Source organism: Homo sapiens, chromosome 12 (assembly GCF_000001405.40).
Source record: "Homo sapiens chromosome 12, GRCh38.p14 Primary Assembly".
NCBI lineage: Eukaryota > Metazoa > Chordata > Mammalia > Primates > Hominidae > Homo > Homo sapiens.
Window position 1 is genome coordinate 58,080,220 of NC_000012.12, and position 18,156 is coordinate 58,098,375.

The window sequence follows — 18,156 nt, forward strand, 5'->3', positions numbered from 1 at the left end:
CTGGGCTGTAGAAGAGAGAAGACCTTGACTAGATTTTCTGTGTATGGAAGGTGATACGGCGGAATCAGAATCTGTGGCGGACACTGTTAGTTGCCCTCCTAACCCCAATAGCGATTTCCCCTCCTTTTTGTAAACACAATCTTGTTTTCTTTGAGGGGGAGGGGGTAGCCTTATGCCCCACTATGAGGGCTAAAATCATGATTGGTTTAAGTCATTAATGGCAATTTCATTACTTTGACAGTCTCCCTTTCCCAGGGGTCCCAGAGCTATGATGACCATGTGACCTAGTTCTACTCAATGCTGTGCAAGGAGAAGGCTGCAGCTGGGCTTCTGGGAGAAACTCTCTTACCATTTTGCCCACCTGATATTGTGTGAAGATGTGCAGCTTGTATCTGTGGCAGTCATCTTGTGATCAAGAGATGGCATGTCCAAGAATGAAAAGCTCACAGTTGAGAATGGCATGGTTGAGGCAGAAAGAAATTAGATGATGGATGGTGCTGTGGAGCTGCTGCACCAAACTTGGAGCTCCACATCTTCAGAATTCTTATATCACGAGATCAGTAAATGCTTTTATTGCTTAAGCCACTGTGAGCTGGGTTTTCTCTTCTTTCAGCTGCTTGAAATCAAATGAGTGTAACATCAAAATGGATTAATGCATTTGTTTAATTCACCACAAAGCTTGGAGGACTTTCAGTAATTCGAGGGCCTCAGCCGAAGAGGTAGCAGAATTCAGGAAGAGTGAGCGTGTTAAGCCAGAGCATGAGTACCCAAAATAAGCAGTGGAAGTGCCAGTGGAGGCAGTGGTGCCCAGAGGCTATGGCAATAATGTCTGGCAATCCTGGCAGAAGAGGCAGATGTGCCAGACTGAAGTAACGTGAGTGGGGAAGCCCAGCAGATGTAGCGGTCCCTGGTTGACACTGGGGTGCCTCATGTTGCAGAAATAGAAATAAAGAAACTATGGCACAGAGTAGCTTTCTGGATAGCTGATTTTACTTGTTTGTAGGCATATTTGAGGCATCATTTTGTATGTTAAAGAGGATAATCTGCTGCCCAGAATGTTTACAGGCTCAAACACAACAGGAGTTTGTGTTCTGCTCATATAACAGTGTGGTGGCCAGTGGATGGTTTTCTCTCTTTCTGGTGAATCAGGGGCTTTGGAGACTTCCATTTGGAGATTCTGAAGTTCCTTGGCACCTGGTTGTCATGGCATTCAGCTGGTAGAAGAAAAAAGAGCATGGGGGAGATATGCCTGCTTCTTAAAAACCTCAGTCTAGAAGTGGCACAAATTACCCCCCTTCTACTTCACAGTGGAAAGGAGTTATATGTTTCTACCTAACTGCAAATGGAGTGGGCAATGGGTTTCCCTGGCTAGGCAGCTGCTCCAGGTTATATCTTGAAATAGGAGAATGAAATATGATAGGCAATCTCTGCCAGCCAGGTACTCTTGGAAATATGATACTTGTTTTGCGGTGGGATTGGGGTGGGGCAGATACTTTGCAGAATCTTAGGGTTCTGAGCTAGTTGGTGGGGTAAGCTGGTGACACAGAGGTAACAAGGCCAGTGATTTACCCATGGATCTTCTAAGTGTTGCCAATTAGAGTAGTTTAGGCAGTAGGGGGCATTTCCCCCCCATTCCTTGGAATTATTTGCTTGACTATATCAAATTACTGAATAATTGAAAAACCCTCTCTTTTGTCTAACTACAGTCATGTGTTGCTTAACGACAAGGATACATTCTGAGAAAAGTGTTCAATAAGTGATTTTGTAATTGTGTGAACATCAGAGTGTGCTTACAGAAACCTAGATGGTGTAGCCTACTACACGCCTATGCTATAACCTATTGTTCCTAGGTTACAAACCTGTACAGCATATTACTGTACTCAATACTGTAGGCAATTATAACATGATATATTTGCATATCTAAACATATTTAAACATAGAAATGGTACAGTAAAATCATGGTATGATCTTAGGGGACCACAGTCATACGTGCAGTCTATCACTGACCAAAACATTGTTATGCAGGGCACGACTATATTTAGATCTGGTATGGCCATAGTACTGAATTTCATTTATGATTTAACATAAACCAAATACCGACAGTCTAAACTCTAATATATACACCTGCCAGTCCTTTTATTATTGGAAGCAAAGCACTTAAAAGCATGTGCTAGTTTTTTCTTTTTGAAAGTATTTCTGATGACTGCATGGCCTACGACTACTAAGAAATAGAATTTCAAAATGAGCATCAGACTTATTTTTCAAGTGCCTTGTCATAAATGCATTGCTACTCATGTAATAAAGTAATTTTCCCTTGTGAGATAAATATAGCACTAAAGAAGAATGAGCCTTGTCTGATAAAATGGCTTTTATTAATCTTCTAATGTTTTTATTTTGTTCTAGAATTATGATTAGTTTCAAGAGAGTAGCAAACAGGTTATGATCAGAGTTGAGTATTATTGCTATCCAGATATATTTGGTTAATGCCTGCTGTTTATTTCAAAAACAAAATGTTCCATTAAGAAAAATCAATGATAATGGTTAGACTTTATTATCAAGAAATTATACCTGTTATGTAAACCTTGCTAATTATAAGTGCTTGGATTCATTTGGGTGATATAACAGATGAAAAAGGCCATTTATTAGGAGAAGTACTTGGCATTTGTACCAGCATAATAAAACTAAAATAATAAAACACAACCCAAGGAAAGAAAAAAATGTTATTGAGGAATGGAATTTGCCCAGGAATGAATTATACCAGGAGACAGTATGGAGTGTGGGATTAACACTGAGTGCTTCATCCTGGATATCAATTTCCTATGACACCTCAAACAGCCTGTCCTTGTCTTCTCCTCCTTCCACTTTACTTCTTACTTTTTCCGGCTGAGCTCATGCATGTACATGCTTCAGCTTCTATTAATTCCTAAGTATTTGTAACTTCAGTGCTGACCTCTTGCCCATGGTTCAGTCTGCCCTCTGGCCATCTCTGCCTGGATGTCTCCTAGGAACCTGAACTCTACGTGTTCAAATAGAGTTTATCTCTCATGCTCTTCTTGAATATCATAGTGACAGCCCTCACTCCTCCCTCCCTCACACCCATATCCAATCAGCCATACCTTTTTGTTTCCAGCCAGAAATTTCTCTCTCATATCTAGATTCTACATTTGCTCCCACTCCCACCGCCTTAGTCTGGGCCATCATCACCTTTTGTTTTAATGACTATAACCTATACATCTAACCAGCAGGCTCATAAGATGTAGTCACTAAAGCAATTTTATTTTTTGTCTTCTGTAGTCCTTTATTTTAAAATTGTTCTCTCAACTTTTAATTTTCAAATATTTCAAATCGGCAGAAAAGTTGAAATAACAAAACAATAAACACATATATAAATCTCACCTTCTAGATTGATCAGTTGCTAACACTTTGCGAGCTTTCTTTCTCTGTGTGAATCTCTCGCTCTCTCTCCCTGTCCCCACTCCTCTGTCACTCTCTCCTGTAATCCATTTTCCACATCTCTGCACAGAACCCAACCCTGCTTTGGCTCCTTAAAGATGGTGGCTTGGGAATGGTGTGGACACTGGCCTTCCCATATGTTTCTAAAGGTCTAACTCCAATAGTAAAAGGTGTTCCGTTTCAGACAGAAGCAGAGGGAGACAGCAGAAGAAAAGGGTTACTATAATGAGAAATGTAATGAACCTTGGCAAGCCATGTGCTTGTATGTCTGTGTGTCAGCGTTTGCAAGGAGTCCATTTTCTTAGATGCAGGTTGGCCACATGAGGGCTCAGGGTGGGGATAGAATGTTGTGTGAGACTGTGGACCTCAGAGAAATGTCCTCATGGATGATACTGGCAGATATGGCTGGGCCCAGATACCTCCTTGAAGTGGCTGGCTCTTTGTTAGTGGACATTGAAAGCAGAAGGTGTGAACAAACTTGTTTCTGAACTCAACACTTGGAGATTCTCAGAATGGGTAAGACTTTAAGGCTGAGGAGGTGACGGTGGCTACAAAAACCTTATGAATGCAAGTAGAGGACATAAAACAGCAAGATGTGAGCACTGTTGTTATGGTGGCCTCACAGGCTAGTGAAGCCTGAGGACATTTGGATTACATAGGGATAGGAAAAAAAGATATTGAAAGAAATACATATATTTCAATGAGAACACTTCCTTTACCCTATAGTTTTCCATGGCCCTAATTGTGTACAAGTTATTCATCATTCCACCCTTGCATTTTGATGGTATATATGTGATATAAACACATGTGACAATCTGTTTGGCCAGTAGATCTACAAAACCATTGAGGATTATTAGTGCTGATTTTATTTTAATAGAATAAAGTATTTTTTTGTCTGAATTAACTACTCTGCCTTTCAAGTCATTAAAGCAAAACTCAAATCCTTACTGTTTCAAAAATATTGCTAATTGGCTTATTTGTTAAAAAACATCTGTTTTTCATCAGAGGCAACTGAGGCAATATGTTGCAGATTGTATTTTCCAAAGATGATGACAATTGTCTCTCCTACCCCTTGTTCTCTTATAATGTGACTGTGACATTTCACTTATAAAATAGTGGAGCCAGTGTCCCTCCTCTTGAACGTGGGTGGATATTGTGATTGCACTGATCAATAGCGTGTGGTGGAAATGACTCTCTGTGACTTCCAAAGGTAGATCATGAAAATGCCATGCAGCTCTGCTTTGCTCTGTTGGCACATTTGTTCTTGGCATCTAACCACCATGCTATAAGAAAGCCCAGCTAGCTCACATGCAGAGGCCATATGGAAAGGCCATATACAGGTATTTCAGCTAACAGCCTAGCTGAGATCCCAGCTGACCACCAGCATCAACCACCAGACATGTGAGCAGGCCAGATGATTCCACTCCTCGGCTGTTGAGTAACCCTCAGTCTTTGAGTCTTCCTCCTTGAATACACAGCTATCAGAGGTCAAAGACAAGCCCTCCCTCTGTGCTCTGTTCAAATTTTTGACCCACAGAATCTGTGAGCATAATAAAATGGCTGTTCTATACCACTGAGTTTTAGGGTGTTTGCTATGCAGCAGTAGCAACTGGAACAGCATATAACAACTTTTTCTGGTTTGGTAACAACTCAGTGATTTTTGATCATCTAGAAATGTTTTATAAATGAATCTATTTGAAGACATTTTCTTTATCCTATATCATCAAGGTCCTAATTTGAGAAATATCTCTGTGAAGTCTTTTAATTCAAGCATGCCTGGGTAGTCAGAAGAGCCTGCCTGTCAGGTAATTTCTCTAGGAGTCTTTGTATGGAAGACCAACAAACCTTTTGAGAAAGAACTCAACCTGAGTAAAGAGACTCTCTGCTCAAGAAGTTGGTGCCAGGGTAATAGTCTAATGTTCCAGGGCTGGTCAACTTTGAGAATAGTCCAGTACCATCACTTGACTTGCCTTCCAGCCCAGCCACCATAGACCTATCCCTGAATCCCACAGAGAGAGGAATTACAGTGCAAGAAAGAGGAAAAGAAAAGAGTGCTTCAGTTGCTCTTCCTTGGGGCCTTGGGAATATAAGTCAATGGGTTCAGCAGCACTGGTATTGACTGCCTTGGCCACATAAGGACGCATCTGACCTAGGATGTTGGGCATTGGGTGCCCCATTGTTGATTTTGGTGGACTTGGCAGAAAACCAGAGGAGATGGGCAAATGGTGCTTGCTATGTGGAAGCTGGGAGGACCATATTCACCCATTTATTAATTCACTCTGTGGTGGGCAGTCTTCATTGTCCATGACTTATGTTTTTCTTTTCTGTAGTAACAAAATTGTAGTTGGCATGTGGCTGCCAAGATATCCTATGTTTTTAAGCTTCCCTTGTAGTTAGGTGTTGTCATGTGGAATGTGAGAAGTGATTTGTGCTTCTTGCAACGCTGGGACTTTATACACCCGATATGCATCTTCATGCTCTCTTTTTCCTCTCTACTGGCTGGAATTTATCAACTCAACCTTTGGGTCTCTGAATGACTCATATCATGGGTCTCTGAATGACTATGTGGAGCAAAGCCACCCACTGACATGGAATGCTCACCACTAATTTTTAGGTAAATAACAAGCTATCTTTTCTCAATCTTTGAATTATTGTTGAGTTTCTTTGTTTTATCATTTTACCCTTAACCTAAATATGCTTATCTATCCAACAAATATTTACTGAACTATATATCAGGTTCTGTGAAAGATGATGAGGATACAATGGCAAGCTTAAAATTCACCAGGGGAAGCAGACAAAATATAATTACAATTGTGATACATGCTAAATCCTCTAGAGGAGAGGTGCATGGTGAAATGAGTGTATATAGTCAGGAGAATTGATGCAGTCATGGGCATTAACAAAGTCCTCTGTGAAAAAAATAATAATTGATTGAAGTCTTCGGGAAGAGTGAGATTAATTTGTGGGTGGGAGGCAATAAGCAGAGATCCTTCTAGTCAGAAGGGATAGCATATCCAAAGGCCTTGGGGTAGCAGTTTGCATGGTCAGGCTGGTCTTGAACTCCTGATCTCGTGATCCGCCTGCCTTGGCCTCCCAAAGTGCTGGGATTACAGGCGTGAGCCACCACGCCGGGCCAGATCACATAGTCTTTGAGGTCTAGTTCAGTCTGCCGTCCTCTGCATTGGCAAGGGCCTACTGAACGCTTTCCATAGTGAGTGTAGGTCACCCTCTGGCTTGTTCCACACACAGATGTGAGTGTGGAGCGTGCAATCCTTATAATGAGAAGAATCCAGGAATACTATATTCCATTAATAACAAAGATTTGTGTAAAAATGGCAATTTGATCCCGACATAAAATGCTTGCCAGTTGTTTCTATTTCCCCTTTCCTGCCTTTTGTAGCCGTCCAGATCTTCTGACTGCATCATGGTGTGGATCTGTTTACGCTAGCAACTCTCCTGGCTTCTGAGGAGGCATTTCTATTTTAAAAAGAGGGGTTTGCTGAGGGCAGCTATCACAGCAGGAGAGTGACTGGAAATAATTGCTAGCTGTGGCAAGTGAAAGAAACTGAACTAGAGAAAGCGGAAAAGAGGATTTACTGGTTAATGGAACTGGAAGGGAGGGGCGATGTCAACATTAGGGACAACTGGAACCAGGGACTTGAACATTGTGAGGAATTCTCTTCCTGCTTGTCTTGGCTTCTTTGAGCATCAGCTTGTCTGCGCACATTGGCTTCTCATGTGGCTGGAGCCATGGTTGCTACAGCTCTAGCCTCCCACGTTTACAGTTCCAAGACTAGAGAGGAAAGGTACTCTCTCCTAAGCTCAAGTTTGAAAAAAACAGAGGAGAATCCTGATTGGCTGGATTGAGGGGGGGTCACGTGTTTATTCCTGGCCCAATCACAGTGACCAAAGTGTGAGACTTTATGATTGGTCCAACTGGATCAAGTGCCCACCTCTTGGCACATGTTGGAAACGCTCACCAGAACCACCTGGTTTGAAAAGGCATCTACCTAAAGATGCTGTTCTGGGCACTGTTTTAAAACATTTTTTTCCGTGAAGTTTTCCTTCCCTCTATTTCCTTATATTTATGTATTTGTAAAATGACATCAAAGACAGAGCCTTTCTTAGGTCCTAATCTCTCTACCGAGTGGTAGCGTCTGAATAACAAAGGGGAGTGGCCAATGTCTCTTTTAACAAGGAGGATGTGCTTATGGCAGGCGCCCCGGGAGCCCAGGGCAGGGCTCAGGCCGGGTAGCCCTGAGAAGCAGGGCCCATTGAATATGTGTGAAATGCAGAACACTCAGTAAATGGGCTGTAGTGGAAATCCCGCATCTGTGATACCGGAGGGGTTTGTGTATTTCTGGCTGCTGGTAGATAAGAACCAGAAATTTCTGTGTGCTGAAAACTAGAGCACAGAAAGATTGGTGCTTGTTATATGAGGTGAGAGATGGAAAGAGAGAGAAACTGCAAATCTTGTTTCTGAACCTGTGCTCACCACCTTCCTTTCTTTTTTGGCATGTCTCTCAACTCGGAAGTTTGCTTGGGGACTTCCCCAGCCAGTTCTGTGCTCCTCAAGGCGGGAAACCATGCTTGCCAATCTTTTGGACTCATTTTTAATCGGCTTGGAAATTTAATCAGAATAATGCCAGGTACATGCAATTGTAAAAAAAAAAATCTATTAATTAGCTACCCACAGTCTTGCCTTCTCCAGTTAAATTTAAATCCTGAGGAGAAAATGACATACAGCTCTGTTCTATACCTCCAGGTATGGAAACCACCGCCTGGGATTAAAGCATCAGTGAAGATGCTGCTTAGGAGGAATTCAGATTTTAGAGAAGAAAGGAGGTCATGAGAGCTCATTACTGGATCACTGAACTGGTAAGAATTATAAAGAGCTCGCCTTTTTCTTTTCTTGTATATGTGCACTACATTCATTTTTTTGGTGTGACAACAGTGTTTATAAAGGACCAAACATTCACTTTGCTAATGAAAGTTGACATTTCTAGTCATCCAATAAACAAGGATGCTTAATTTCAAGAGATGTGCATCAAGATGGTACCAATGGGTACACAGTGTAGACTCTCTGGGGAACTGAACACTCAGAATGGACACAGGTTTAATTTAGCTCAAAACACACTTAACATATGCAGTAGGACAGTTTGTCTGCAATGCCTAACTATTCTTTATGCCCTATGACTTTGGTTCATTTATCTCCCCAGAATTCGATCAGGAGTAGCCTCTTGCCATAGTGGTGGCAAGTCTGCTGCCAAGCGGCTAGCCTATTACTAGGAACCTTGCTAAAATAAAGATCTTGATTCAATAGTGCAGGGGTGAAATCTGAGACTCCGCATTTCTAACTAGTTTCCAGGTGATGCCAAGGCTGCTGGTCCCAGGGTCACACTTTGAGTAGCAAGGGACCAAGTTACAGAGACAGGGGGATTTAAGAGCCCAGACACCTTAATTGTGTAGCTGATGTGAATATCTGGGAGCTTCTGGTGCAGAGGATCCCAGACAAGCCCTAATTTGTCCTCTGAGTCCTGTTTTTCCCATTTTTATTTTCCCCCTGCACTTCCATGGATTCCACAAGAGATGTGTCCTTTGAACGGAGCCCCTTTTCTGAGCTAATTTGTGGGGATTCTACCCTATTCTTGCAGCCAGATGAGCCCTTGCTAGTTCAAGAAACAGATACATCAGTATTTAGAGGAGTCCACAGGTTAGGCGTGTATGAGGTACAAATAACCAGACTCTGCCTCCCCCTGACTATGGCCTGGCAGCTTTCTCTTTCTTCCTTACCTCTCCATCAGCTGAACACTTCAAGTCTGTGCCTTCAGGGCAAGACCTTCTTTTGACCTTGTTAATTTGCTCATTTCTCTAATCAACTCGTTTAGTTAAGAGATGTGGTTTCAAAATGGAAACACCTCCAATACTGCAAAGTGAAGAAAGCAGAACAGTTAGCTGTTTCATATAAAAACAATCTGAAAATACAGTAAATGAATCCACGGTTAAAATGCTAAACAGTAAATTTATTTGCAAAGTGAATCACACATCAGTTGTGCTTTTACTGTAGCCCAGAATAATTTCTAATTATAGCAACACTAAATAGAAAATAGCTTGTATTCTATTATTTAAAATATTCATGAAGTGGGGAGAGGACTAGAAAGAACTGAATGTATAAATGTGACTTTTGTGGGGCTGTTTTAATGCTTGGCCTTGTATGGCATCCACGCCCAGTTTGGCTCAGGTGACGAAAATGAAATGGACAAATATATTTGGTGACATAAATAACATTAAAGTTAATAGGTTTTACTCAGCACTTGGCATGTGAATGCAAAAGGAACCCAAATCCTCTGGGGTCACTCAAGATATACTGAGCACCCGCTTTTACGCAGGCAACCGTACTAAGTTTGGTGGGAGTTCAAAAGTGAGCAAAATGCTTCTTCTTTCCCTTTGGCTCTTATAGTCTGGGAAAAAATGACAAGCAATGTTTTTTTCTCCTCCCTCCATTTTCTATTAGCTGACAACTACATGGATCCTCTTTTCCTTATCTCTAGTGGTGAAGTTTTAGTGTCAGCATCAGGCCAAGGAGTGAGGCATTTTGAACAGACATTTTCAGTGTTCCTCAGATCCCATGATGCAGATGACAGTCCCCTCTTAAGGCCAGCCCCTTAGGAGTCCATCTTTTCAGTTTACTCCACCTTTCCTAATCAGAGCCATTCTTTGCTCAGATAACCACAGACACTTCTGGAGAAACAGCCCTTTCCCTACTCTTTCAACCCCTACAACCTCCCTGAGAAATTTCTGCCTTGGCCTCTGCAAAGGACCCACCTGACAAAGCGATATGAGGAGGCATATTGCAAAAAGGACACAGCCTGTGAACTGGGGGAGCCCTGCTACTCACCAGCCACTCTCCCAGCACAGCTTCCTCAAAACTTTTTTGTTTGAAAAGATGTTGCGTCATGGTGAATAAGAGCATCAATGTGCCGGGGCCAGGGGTGCCATAAACTAAATGGTGTCCCATCCCTAAATTCATATGTTGGAGCCCTAACCCTTCATGTGGGCTATACTGGAGAGAGGGCCTTGAAGAAAGTAATGAAGGTTAAATGGGGTCATAAGGCTGGAGCCTGACCTGGGAGAACGGGTGCTCTTAGAAGAAAAGGAAGAGATAGCAGAGTTCTCTCTCACCATGCGAGGGCACCGTGGGAAGGCAGACATCTGCAAGCCAGAAACAGAGCCCTCACCAGAACCCAGTCGTGCTGGCTGGCTGATCTTGGACTTTTAGCCTCCAGAACTGTGAGAAAATAAATTTCTGTTGTTTAAGCCAGCAGTCCCCAACTTTTTTGACACCAGGGACCAGTTTTGTGGAAGACAGAGTTTCCATGGACTCGTGGAGGGGGTGAGATGGTTTTGGGATGATTCATGCACATTACATTTACTGTGCACTTTATTTCTATTATTATTACATTGTAATACATAATGAAATAATTATACAGCTCACCATAATGTAGAATCAGTGGGAGCCCTGAGCTTGTTTTCCTGCAACTAGATGGTCCTATCTGGGGATGATGAGAGACAGTGACAGATCATCAGGCATTAGATTCTCATAAGTAATGCACAACCTAGATCCCTTGCATGCACAATTTACCATAGGGTTTGCACTCCTATGAGAATCTAATGCTGCTGCTGATCGGACAGGTGGCAGAGCTCAGCTGGTAATTCATGCAGTGGGGAGTGGCTGCAAATACAGATGAAGCTTAGCGTACTTGCGTGCAGCTCATTGTGTGACTCAGTTCCTAACAGGCCATGCAGGGACTGGTACCGGTTTGTGGCCCTGGGGGTGGGGGGACCCCTGGTTTAAGCCACCAGTCTGTGGTACTTTGTTAGGGCAGCAAGAAATGACTAATTAATACCAGGGAGACTTAGGGATGGGGAGGCAAGCCGAGGTGGGCAGAAGGAGAGAGAGAGGCAGCTGTGCATGCTGCAGGTTGGGAACTGAGATGGCTCCCAGTAGAGGTCAGCTTCAGTCATTTCTTCAAACAGTTTAAAATCCACGTCTGAGAACCGTTTCACTTCTTATGGAGGGGCAGCAAGAAAAGCTGCCTGCAACAAGATTTAATTGTGGGACTTCTGGTAAGACCATTATTTTGTTTTAAACTACAAAGAACATGCAGCTCTTATGATACAGATAGTGAAAGAGTCACATAAAAATAGGCATTTGGCCTCTGAACCACAGTCTTATGGCAGTTTAAGTTTGAATGCTGAAATTAATTTTTGACAGCCCCAATAAACTGCACATTGAGACCACACTTCCCAACGACTGATCTGATCATTAGAGTTTCTATTTCTCAGGAATTATTAGGAGGAAAACCAACTATATCCAAGCTACTGGGAGATGCACAACCACTGATAATTAGAAAGAATAAAATCGATGACTAAATGAATGTGCAGTTTACACACAAATGTAACCTTTTATTCTTTCCAATTAGGCTTTCTCCTGTAGGCTTGGCAGATGAGGCTGTGTTATAAATAGAAGTGGCATTTTGTAGGGTTCTTCAAACTGAAGTGTACATGAGGTCAAATTATAATCAAGGTAATATATATAAGTAATGAGCTGAGTCCACATTCCCAGGCATTTATACATTTAGTGGTAATAAATGAGCAAAGATGAAAAGAGAGCTTCCGGACAAATGCAGCAAAATAGTTACTTGTGTGGTTGGAGCACAGCAACTTATCTCTTTGTAATGAATGCTTGCCAGTGATAATTGACTTCATTTGTTAATTGTATTCATGATATTAATGAGATCATTAGCATAACAGTCACATCCTATTCTCCTGTGGTCAAAGTCTAGGGAATTACAAGTTTTGCACACCTTGTTGCTATACGTATACTTATGCATGCCAGTGATGTACAAATTCAAATGCCATCTGTGCTGACTTTTACAAGGACACCCTGAAATAATTCCTTGCCTGTTTTTAAGGGGGCTTTCTGAGAATTTGGGAGAGATCTTTTGTTCTCAGGATAATGAGTTTCATATTTATGAGAAAGATCCAAATTTAGCTCCTGTCATCTTTTTCTCCCCTGAATTCTACTTATTAGTAAGACTTAGCCATGAGCTAAGAACCTGGGAGGAGGAGGAGAAAGTGGCAACAGCCGAGTCTCAGTAAGAGAGGAAAGGGAAGTGATGGGGCACAGGAACATCAAAATATGGCAGCCTGACATTTGAGAAAACTGCAGAAGTGGAATGTCTCCCTCAACTTACCCTTCCCCCTCTCCCCTGAAGCAGGTCATAAAACCCAGGAAGGGCACTCTCTGACTTTCTTGGATCCTTCTTCTCTAAAGCAGGTCATAACATCCTCATTCAGGAAGTACCCTCCCTATACCCGGAAGAAAGGAACATCCTTATCTCTGAAGACACAGAAGAATCTGAACAAACAAACCTGCCTTACTAAGTTCCTCCAAGTTTATTCCCATTAGGTTATACCTCCTTTGTCCAATCATACTTCCCCATGACTGTCCATTCTTCAACAAAGTCAAGTGTAAAAATATACAGGTTTTCTTGTTTCTCTGGGTCTTCATTTCTGAAGGCTCTCATGTCACATAAAACTTATATTAGATAAACGTGTGCTTTTTCTTTGTTAATCAGCCTTTTCTTATAGGTGCCTCAGCCATGAACCTGGTGAAGAATGAGAAAAGAAATCTTTCTTCCCCTACAGAAGTAAGTGAAAGTTCACTTACTTGGGGAATTGTGGGAAGAAAAAGATAGAGGTTTGGGAGGCAGTGGGGAGATGGGTATGTGGGATAAGACATTCAAGAATGGGGTGGAGGAGATTTGTTTCAGTTTAGGTGTGAGACTCTAGAAGGGAACTGGATTACTCTCTTCTCCCAGACAACTCTTGTACCAATTCATGTGGTGAGGTGTGGAGGAGACCCAGATGTGCCCAGGTACCTCTCCCAGCCCCAGGAGGGGTAGTGAAAGGGACTGGACAAGATCCAAACAAGCCTGCTTTAGAACCCAGCAAGACACGAGGAAGGTGACCTCCAGCAGCTGGTTGAAGGATGTGGCAGAGCTTGAGTGAGTAGCCAGGGAGAATCACCAGGCCATTGTGGAGATGCAAGGGGCCAGTCTGGCCCAGTCCAGCCCAGCCCAGCTTCTGCAGGAGACACTAACACTCCTCCAGATATTGGCTGCTCCATGAGGGTCACTCTCCAGGAGCAGCCCAGTCTAGGCATTTTGCTGCAAGGGATGCCATGTGGAATCAAGGACCTTTCCCTTCCTTGAACATCATCTTGGGGAAGAGAAGGAAGGAAGGAAGGAAGGAAGATCAGGCATCTGAAAGACTGAATGACATTAGGCAAGTCACCTAAATGCACTGCAAGGATAACGCCAGCATATGGGCCCTGCCAGGCAGCTGAGGACATGGAGTGGCTTTTATCCCAAAGACATCACATTACTTAAGGACTCTGTTCAGATTTTGGGATGGCCTGTAATTTTAGAGTTGAACTAAAATCTCTAGTTCCCTCTTTCTGCTTGCAAGGGGAATGGGGAATTTAGAGAGAGTAATTTATAAGAAAATACTGAAACTTCATTTTCTCTGGATTTATGAAGGTAGTGTAAGTGAATTGCAACCCTGCTACATATGAAATTGCTATCAAGAGGCAACTTCTTTTGGTCCTGTTACCTCTCCAGGGCCATTCCAATTATTTATAATAATTGCTCAGTATAATTATGTATGAAAAGGCCAGCAGGTCTGGAAATGGCTCCATGACTGCTCTGTCACCATGAACTAGTTCTCAGGCACCATCTGAAGTTTCTGAGATGAGGCCCTCCCCTGATTATCCCCGTGGTGTCTCCTTACCTGACCCTTTCTTCCTGATTCTGCTTGGTACCTGGGATTCCTCTGCTTTCCCCTATGACCTTGACATATGCCTGGTGGGGAAGCCACGCCATGTCCTCAGCTGCCTGGCAGGGCCCTTATGCTGGCGTTATCCTTGCGGTGCATTTTTCAGATGGGGACAAGGAGGCTAGGTGACTTGCCTAATGTCATACAGTTGGTGGCAAAGCCAAGGTTTGAACTCATGTCAGGTTTCATGGTCTCTGTGTCTAACTCTACCCTCTCCTTTGAATCCTGTACTCTTCCAGATGCAGCTTTTCCTGCACCCATTTGGTTGGAAAGGAAGCTAGTACACTGACAACTTAGCACAATATTTCAACCGACATGGGTACATTTTGCTTTGATGCCAACTTCATTGATATCTAATTTATTCACTGTTAAATTATATTATCCATTTTTTTATGATCAAAGTCTAAAATTCAGGGCAGGACTCTCAGGCAGTGGGTGGAACTTGTTCAGATTGTGGCCACTCCAATGATGGATAAGTCCCTTGTTGTGATCACCAAATCCACGGAGGAAAGGTACAAGAATGAGCTTGTTCTCACAATGCTGAGCAGTTAAAGTAAATAACTCCAAATGAGGTGTTTTCTGTATACCTCTCCTTGCATTCTTGGCTTGACAGTCCCAAATGAGGAAGTGAGAAGGTGTTTTTTTTTTTTTTAGTGTCCAAGAGCACTCCCTCCACAGCTTGATGGAAACCAAGTAGTGCTTTACAGAAGATCTTCAGATCCCCCTAATCCAAGAGTGTCACATCCCAAACTGAAGAGTCCCTGACCAAATGGGCCTTCAGCTCATGGTTGTAAAAGACAATCCAAACTTTGTGAGGTTTCTCATACAGGACCCTGCCAAATCCTTTCACACTATCCCTACAGATAGGAGGTTTAGTAAGAAGGGCCTGAGAGAGTGTGTGGGCCAAATGAGTCTGCTATTCTACCCCCACCCCTATTGTTGTTGCTTTCACTGGGTGTTGGTGTGTTTAGTGGGTCCCTGGCCATCACCATGTAATAGGGGCCTCTCAGGCTGGTCCTGCTGGGCTACTCCATGTCCAAACATTTCCCTGTCTCCCCATTACCACCTTCTCTGAGTCTTTTTACCTATTTTGATGGATGGAAGCTGTGATAGTTAATTTTATGTGCCAACTTCGCTGGGCCACAGTGCCCAGATACCTGGTCAAACATTATTCTGGGTGTTTCTGTGAGGCTGTTTTTGGATAAGATAAACATTTATATATTTATTTATTTTGAGAGACAGAATCTCGCTCTGTCAACCAGGCTAGAGTGCAGTGTCGTGATCTTGGCTCACTGCAACCTCTGCCTCCTGGGTTCAAGTGATTCTCCTGCCTCAGCTTCCCAAGTAGCTGAGACCACAGGTGTGTGCCACCACGCCTAGCTAATTTTTGTATTTTTAGTAGAGACAGGGTTTCACTGTATGTTGGCTTGGCTGGTCTTGAACTCCTGACCTCAGCCTGCCTCAGCCTCCTGAAGTGCTGGGATTACAGGCGTGAGCCACCATGCTAGGCCAATATTAACATTTAAATTGGGGGACTTTGAGTCAAGCAGGTTGCCCTCCCAAATTTCGGTGGGCCTTATCCAATCAGCTGAAGGCCTAAATAGAACAAAAAATTGACCTCCCCCAAGCGAGAGGGAATTCTGCCATGGCCTTTGGACGTGAACTGCAATATCAGCTTTTCCTGGGTCTCCAGCCTGATGGTCCACCTTGCAGATTTCAAACTTGCCAGCTTAATTACACTAGCCAGTTTCTTAACATAAATCTCTTTCTATGTGAATTTGTACCCTATTAGTTTTGTTTCTCTGTAGAACCCTCACTAATAGAGATGTATATAGCTTAAAACAATGGTTGTAAAAGAATTGTACTGGGGCCGGGCGCGGTGGCTCACGCCTGTAATCCCAGCACTTTGGGAGGCCGAGGCGGGCGGATCACGAGGTCAGGAGATCGAGAACATCCTGGCTAACACAGTGAAACCCCATCTCTACTAAAAATACAAAAAATTAGCCGAGTGTTGTGGCAGGAGCCTCTAGTCCTAGCTACCCGGGAGGCTGAGGCGGGAGAATGGCGTGAACCCGGGAGGCGGAGTTTGCAGTGAGCTGAGATCCCGCCACTGCACTCCAGCCTGGGCGACAGAGCGACACTCCGTCTCAAAAAAAAAAAAAAAAAAAAGTACTTCAGTGCAGTGGTTAAGAATGTGGGCTCTGAAATCAGATGCCTGTGTTAAGATCCCTGCTCTTCTGTGAGATCTAGGATAAGATACTCAACCTCTCTGTGTCTCTTTACTCATGAGATAATATTAATACATGCAAGGCACTTAGCACAGTGCCTGGCAGATAATAAGTGCTCAACAAATTACATAACTGGTTAGTGGTGAAGCTGGGATTTGAACTCAGGTAGTCTGCTCCAGATCATGAGCCCTTACCATTATGTGATATGTCCCAAGGAAAAAAAACCAAACTGCTTTTCCTTCTATCATCGTCATTGCAGAATACTTCCCCTCTGGTCACCAAAATATGTAGGGATTTCTCCCCACCAGCCAGAATCAGTTTTCCAGTGGACACCAGCTGGATGTTCTATAATTCAACTCTGACACTGTCTATCCAGAGTTAGCATCAGATCCAACAGCTTAGCCCCACAAGACTGCCCCACACTTCAGATGCCAAGCACAAGTCCCAGGTTGTGACCTGTATTTCTGACCAACTGGCTTTATATAAATTGGGGGTTCTCACTGCCCTTTCCCTGGATTCGATTAGTTAACTAGAGTGACTCACAGAACTCGGGGAAAAACACTTATATTTACTTATTGTCTCAGTCTGTTAGGGCTGCTATAAAAGATACCTTAGATTGGGTAATTTATAAATAATAAACACTTTTTTTTTTACAGTTCTAGAGACTGGGAAGTTCAAGATCAAGGCACCAGCAGATTCAGTGTCTGGTGAGGGCTACTCTCTCCTTCCAACATGGCATTTTCTTGCTGCATCCTCACATGGTAGAAGGGGCTGAAAGGGCTGGGCACTCCCTTCATTTTCTTTTATAAGGGCATTAATCCCATTCATAAGGGTACAACCCTCTTGACTTAATCACTTCACCAAAGATCCCACCTTTTAACACTATTACGTTAGAGTTTAAGTTCCAGCATATGAATTTTGGAGGGACACATACATCCAAACCATAATACCTATTTATTATAAAGGATATTACAAAGGATACAGATGAACAGCCAGATGGAAGGGATGCACAGTGCAAAGTATGTGGGCAGGCATGTGGAGCTTCCATGCCCTCTCCAGGCACCTCCACATGCTCAGCATTCCAGAAGTTCTCCAAATCCCATCCTTTTGAGTTTTTATGGAGGCTTCATTATTTAGGCATGATTGATGACATCATTGGCCATTGGGGATAGACTCAACCTCAGTACCTCTCCCCTTCCAGGAAGTCACGGAGTGAGGCTGAAAGTTCCAACCCTCCAATCACATTGTTGGTTCCCCTAGCGACCAGCCTCCACCAACTGTTACCTCATTAGAACAGAAGATGCTCCTATCGCCCAAGAAATTCCAAGGGATTTTGGACCTCTGTGCCAGAAGCTCCTACCACTCAGGAAATTACAGAGGTCTTAGGAGATCTGTGTCAGGAACTGTGGTAGAGACCAAATATTAGCTCCAGAAATGGGGACAGAGACCAAATATATATTTCTTCTTGTATCACAATATTACACTTCCTCTCTCTTGTTCTGACGCTGTTTTTCTTCTCTTGAGGACCGCTTTGTAACTTGAACTGATTGGGGTCCACTTTCTCCCCACTCCCTTC

At 43.1% G+C, this 18,156-nt stretch overlaps 2 long non-coding RNA genes across 4 annotated transcripts, besides 1 other annotated feature; one reads left to right on the forward strand and one right to left on the reverse strand.

Moving 5' to 3' along the window:
* Positions 1-988: 988 nt before the first annotated feature.
* Positions 989-17,774, reverse strand: LOC105369784 (uncharacterized). Of its 3 annotated transcripts, XR_001749166.2 has the most exons (4): positions 17,563-17,774; positions 10,352-10,382; positions 9,247-9,379; positions 989-1,214 (listed from the first exon to the last, which is right to left on the reverse strand). It is a non-coding gene; the product is annotated as an uncharacterized LOC105369784 (long non-coding RNA). The 3 variants fall into 3 exon arrangements; XR_945001.2 differs by lacking the exons at positions 10,352-10,382; positions 17,563-17,774 and adding an exon at positions 10,636-10,726; XR_945002.2 differs by lacking the exons at positions 10,352-10,382; positions 17,563-17,774 and adding an exon at positions 10,580-10,726.
* LINC02403 (long intergenic non-protein coding RNA 2403) lies at positions 7,673-13,143 on the forward strand. The gene is made up of 4 exons (NR_135022.1): positions 7,673-7,893; positions 7,989-8,102; positions 8,219-8,331; positions 13,108-13,143. It is a non-coding gene; the product is annotated as a long intergenic non-protein coding RNA 2403 (long non-coding RNA).
* Positions 12,588-13,787: an enhancer, noted in NCBI's record as "BRD4-independent group 4 enhancer chr12:58486590-58487789 (GRCh37/hg19 assembly coordinates)". NCBI's record gives its function as "activates an origin of replication core promoter dependent on BRD2, P300/CBP, MED14 and CDK7 cofactors, and independent of BRD4, by STARR-seq in HCT116 cells {active_cell/tissue: HCT116}" and the evidence as "EXISTENCE:reporter gene assay evidence [ECO:0000049][PMID:35650434]".
* Positions 17,775-18,156: the final 382 nt, after the last annotated feature.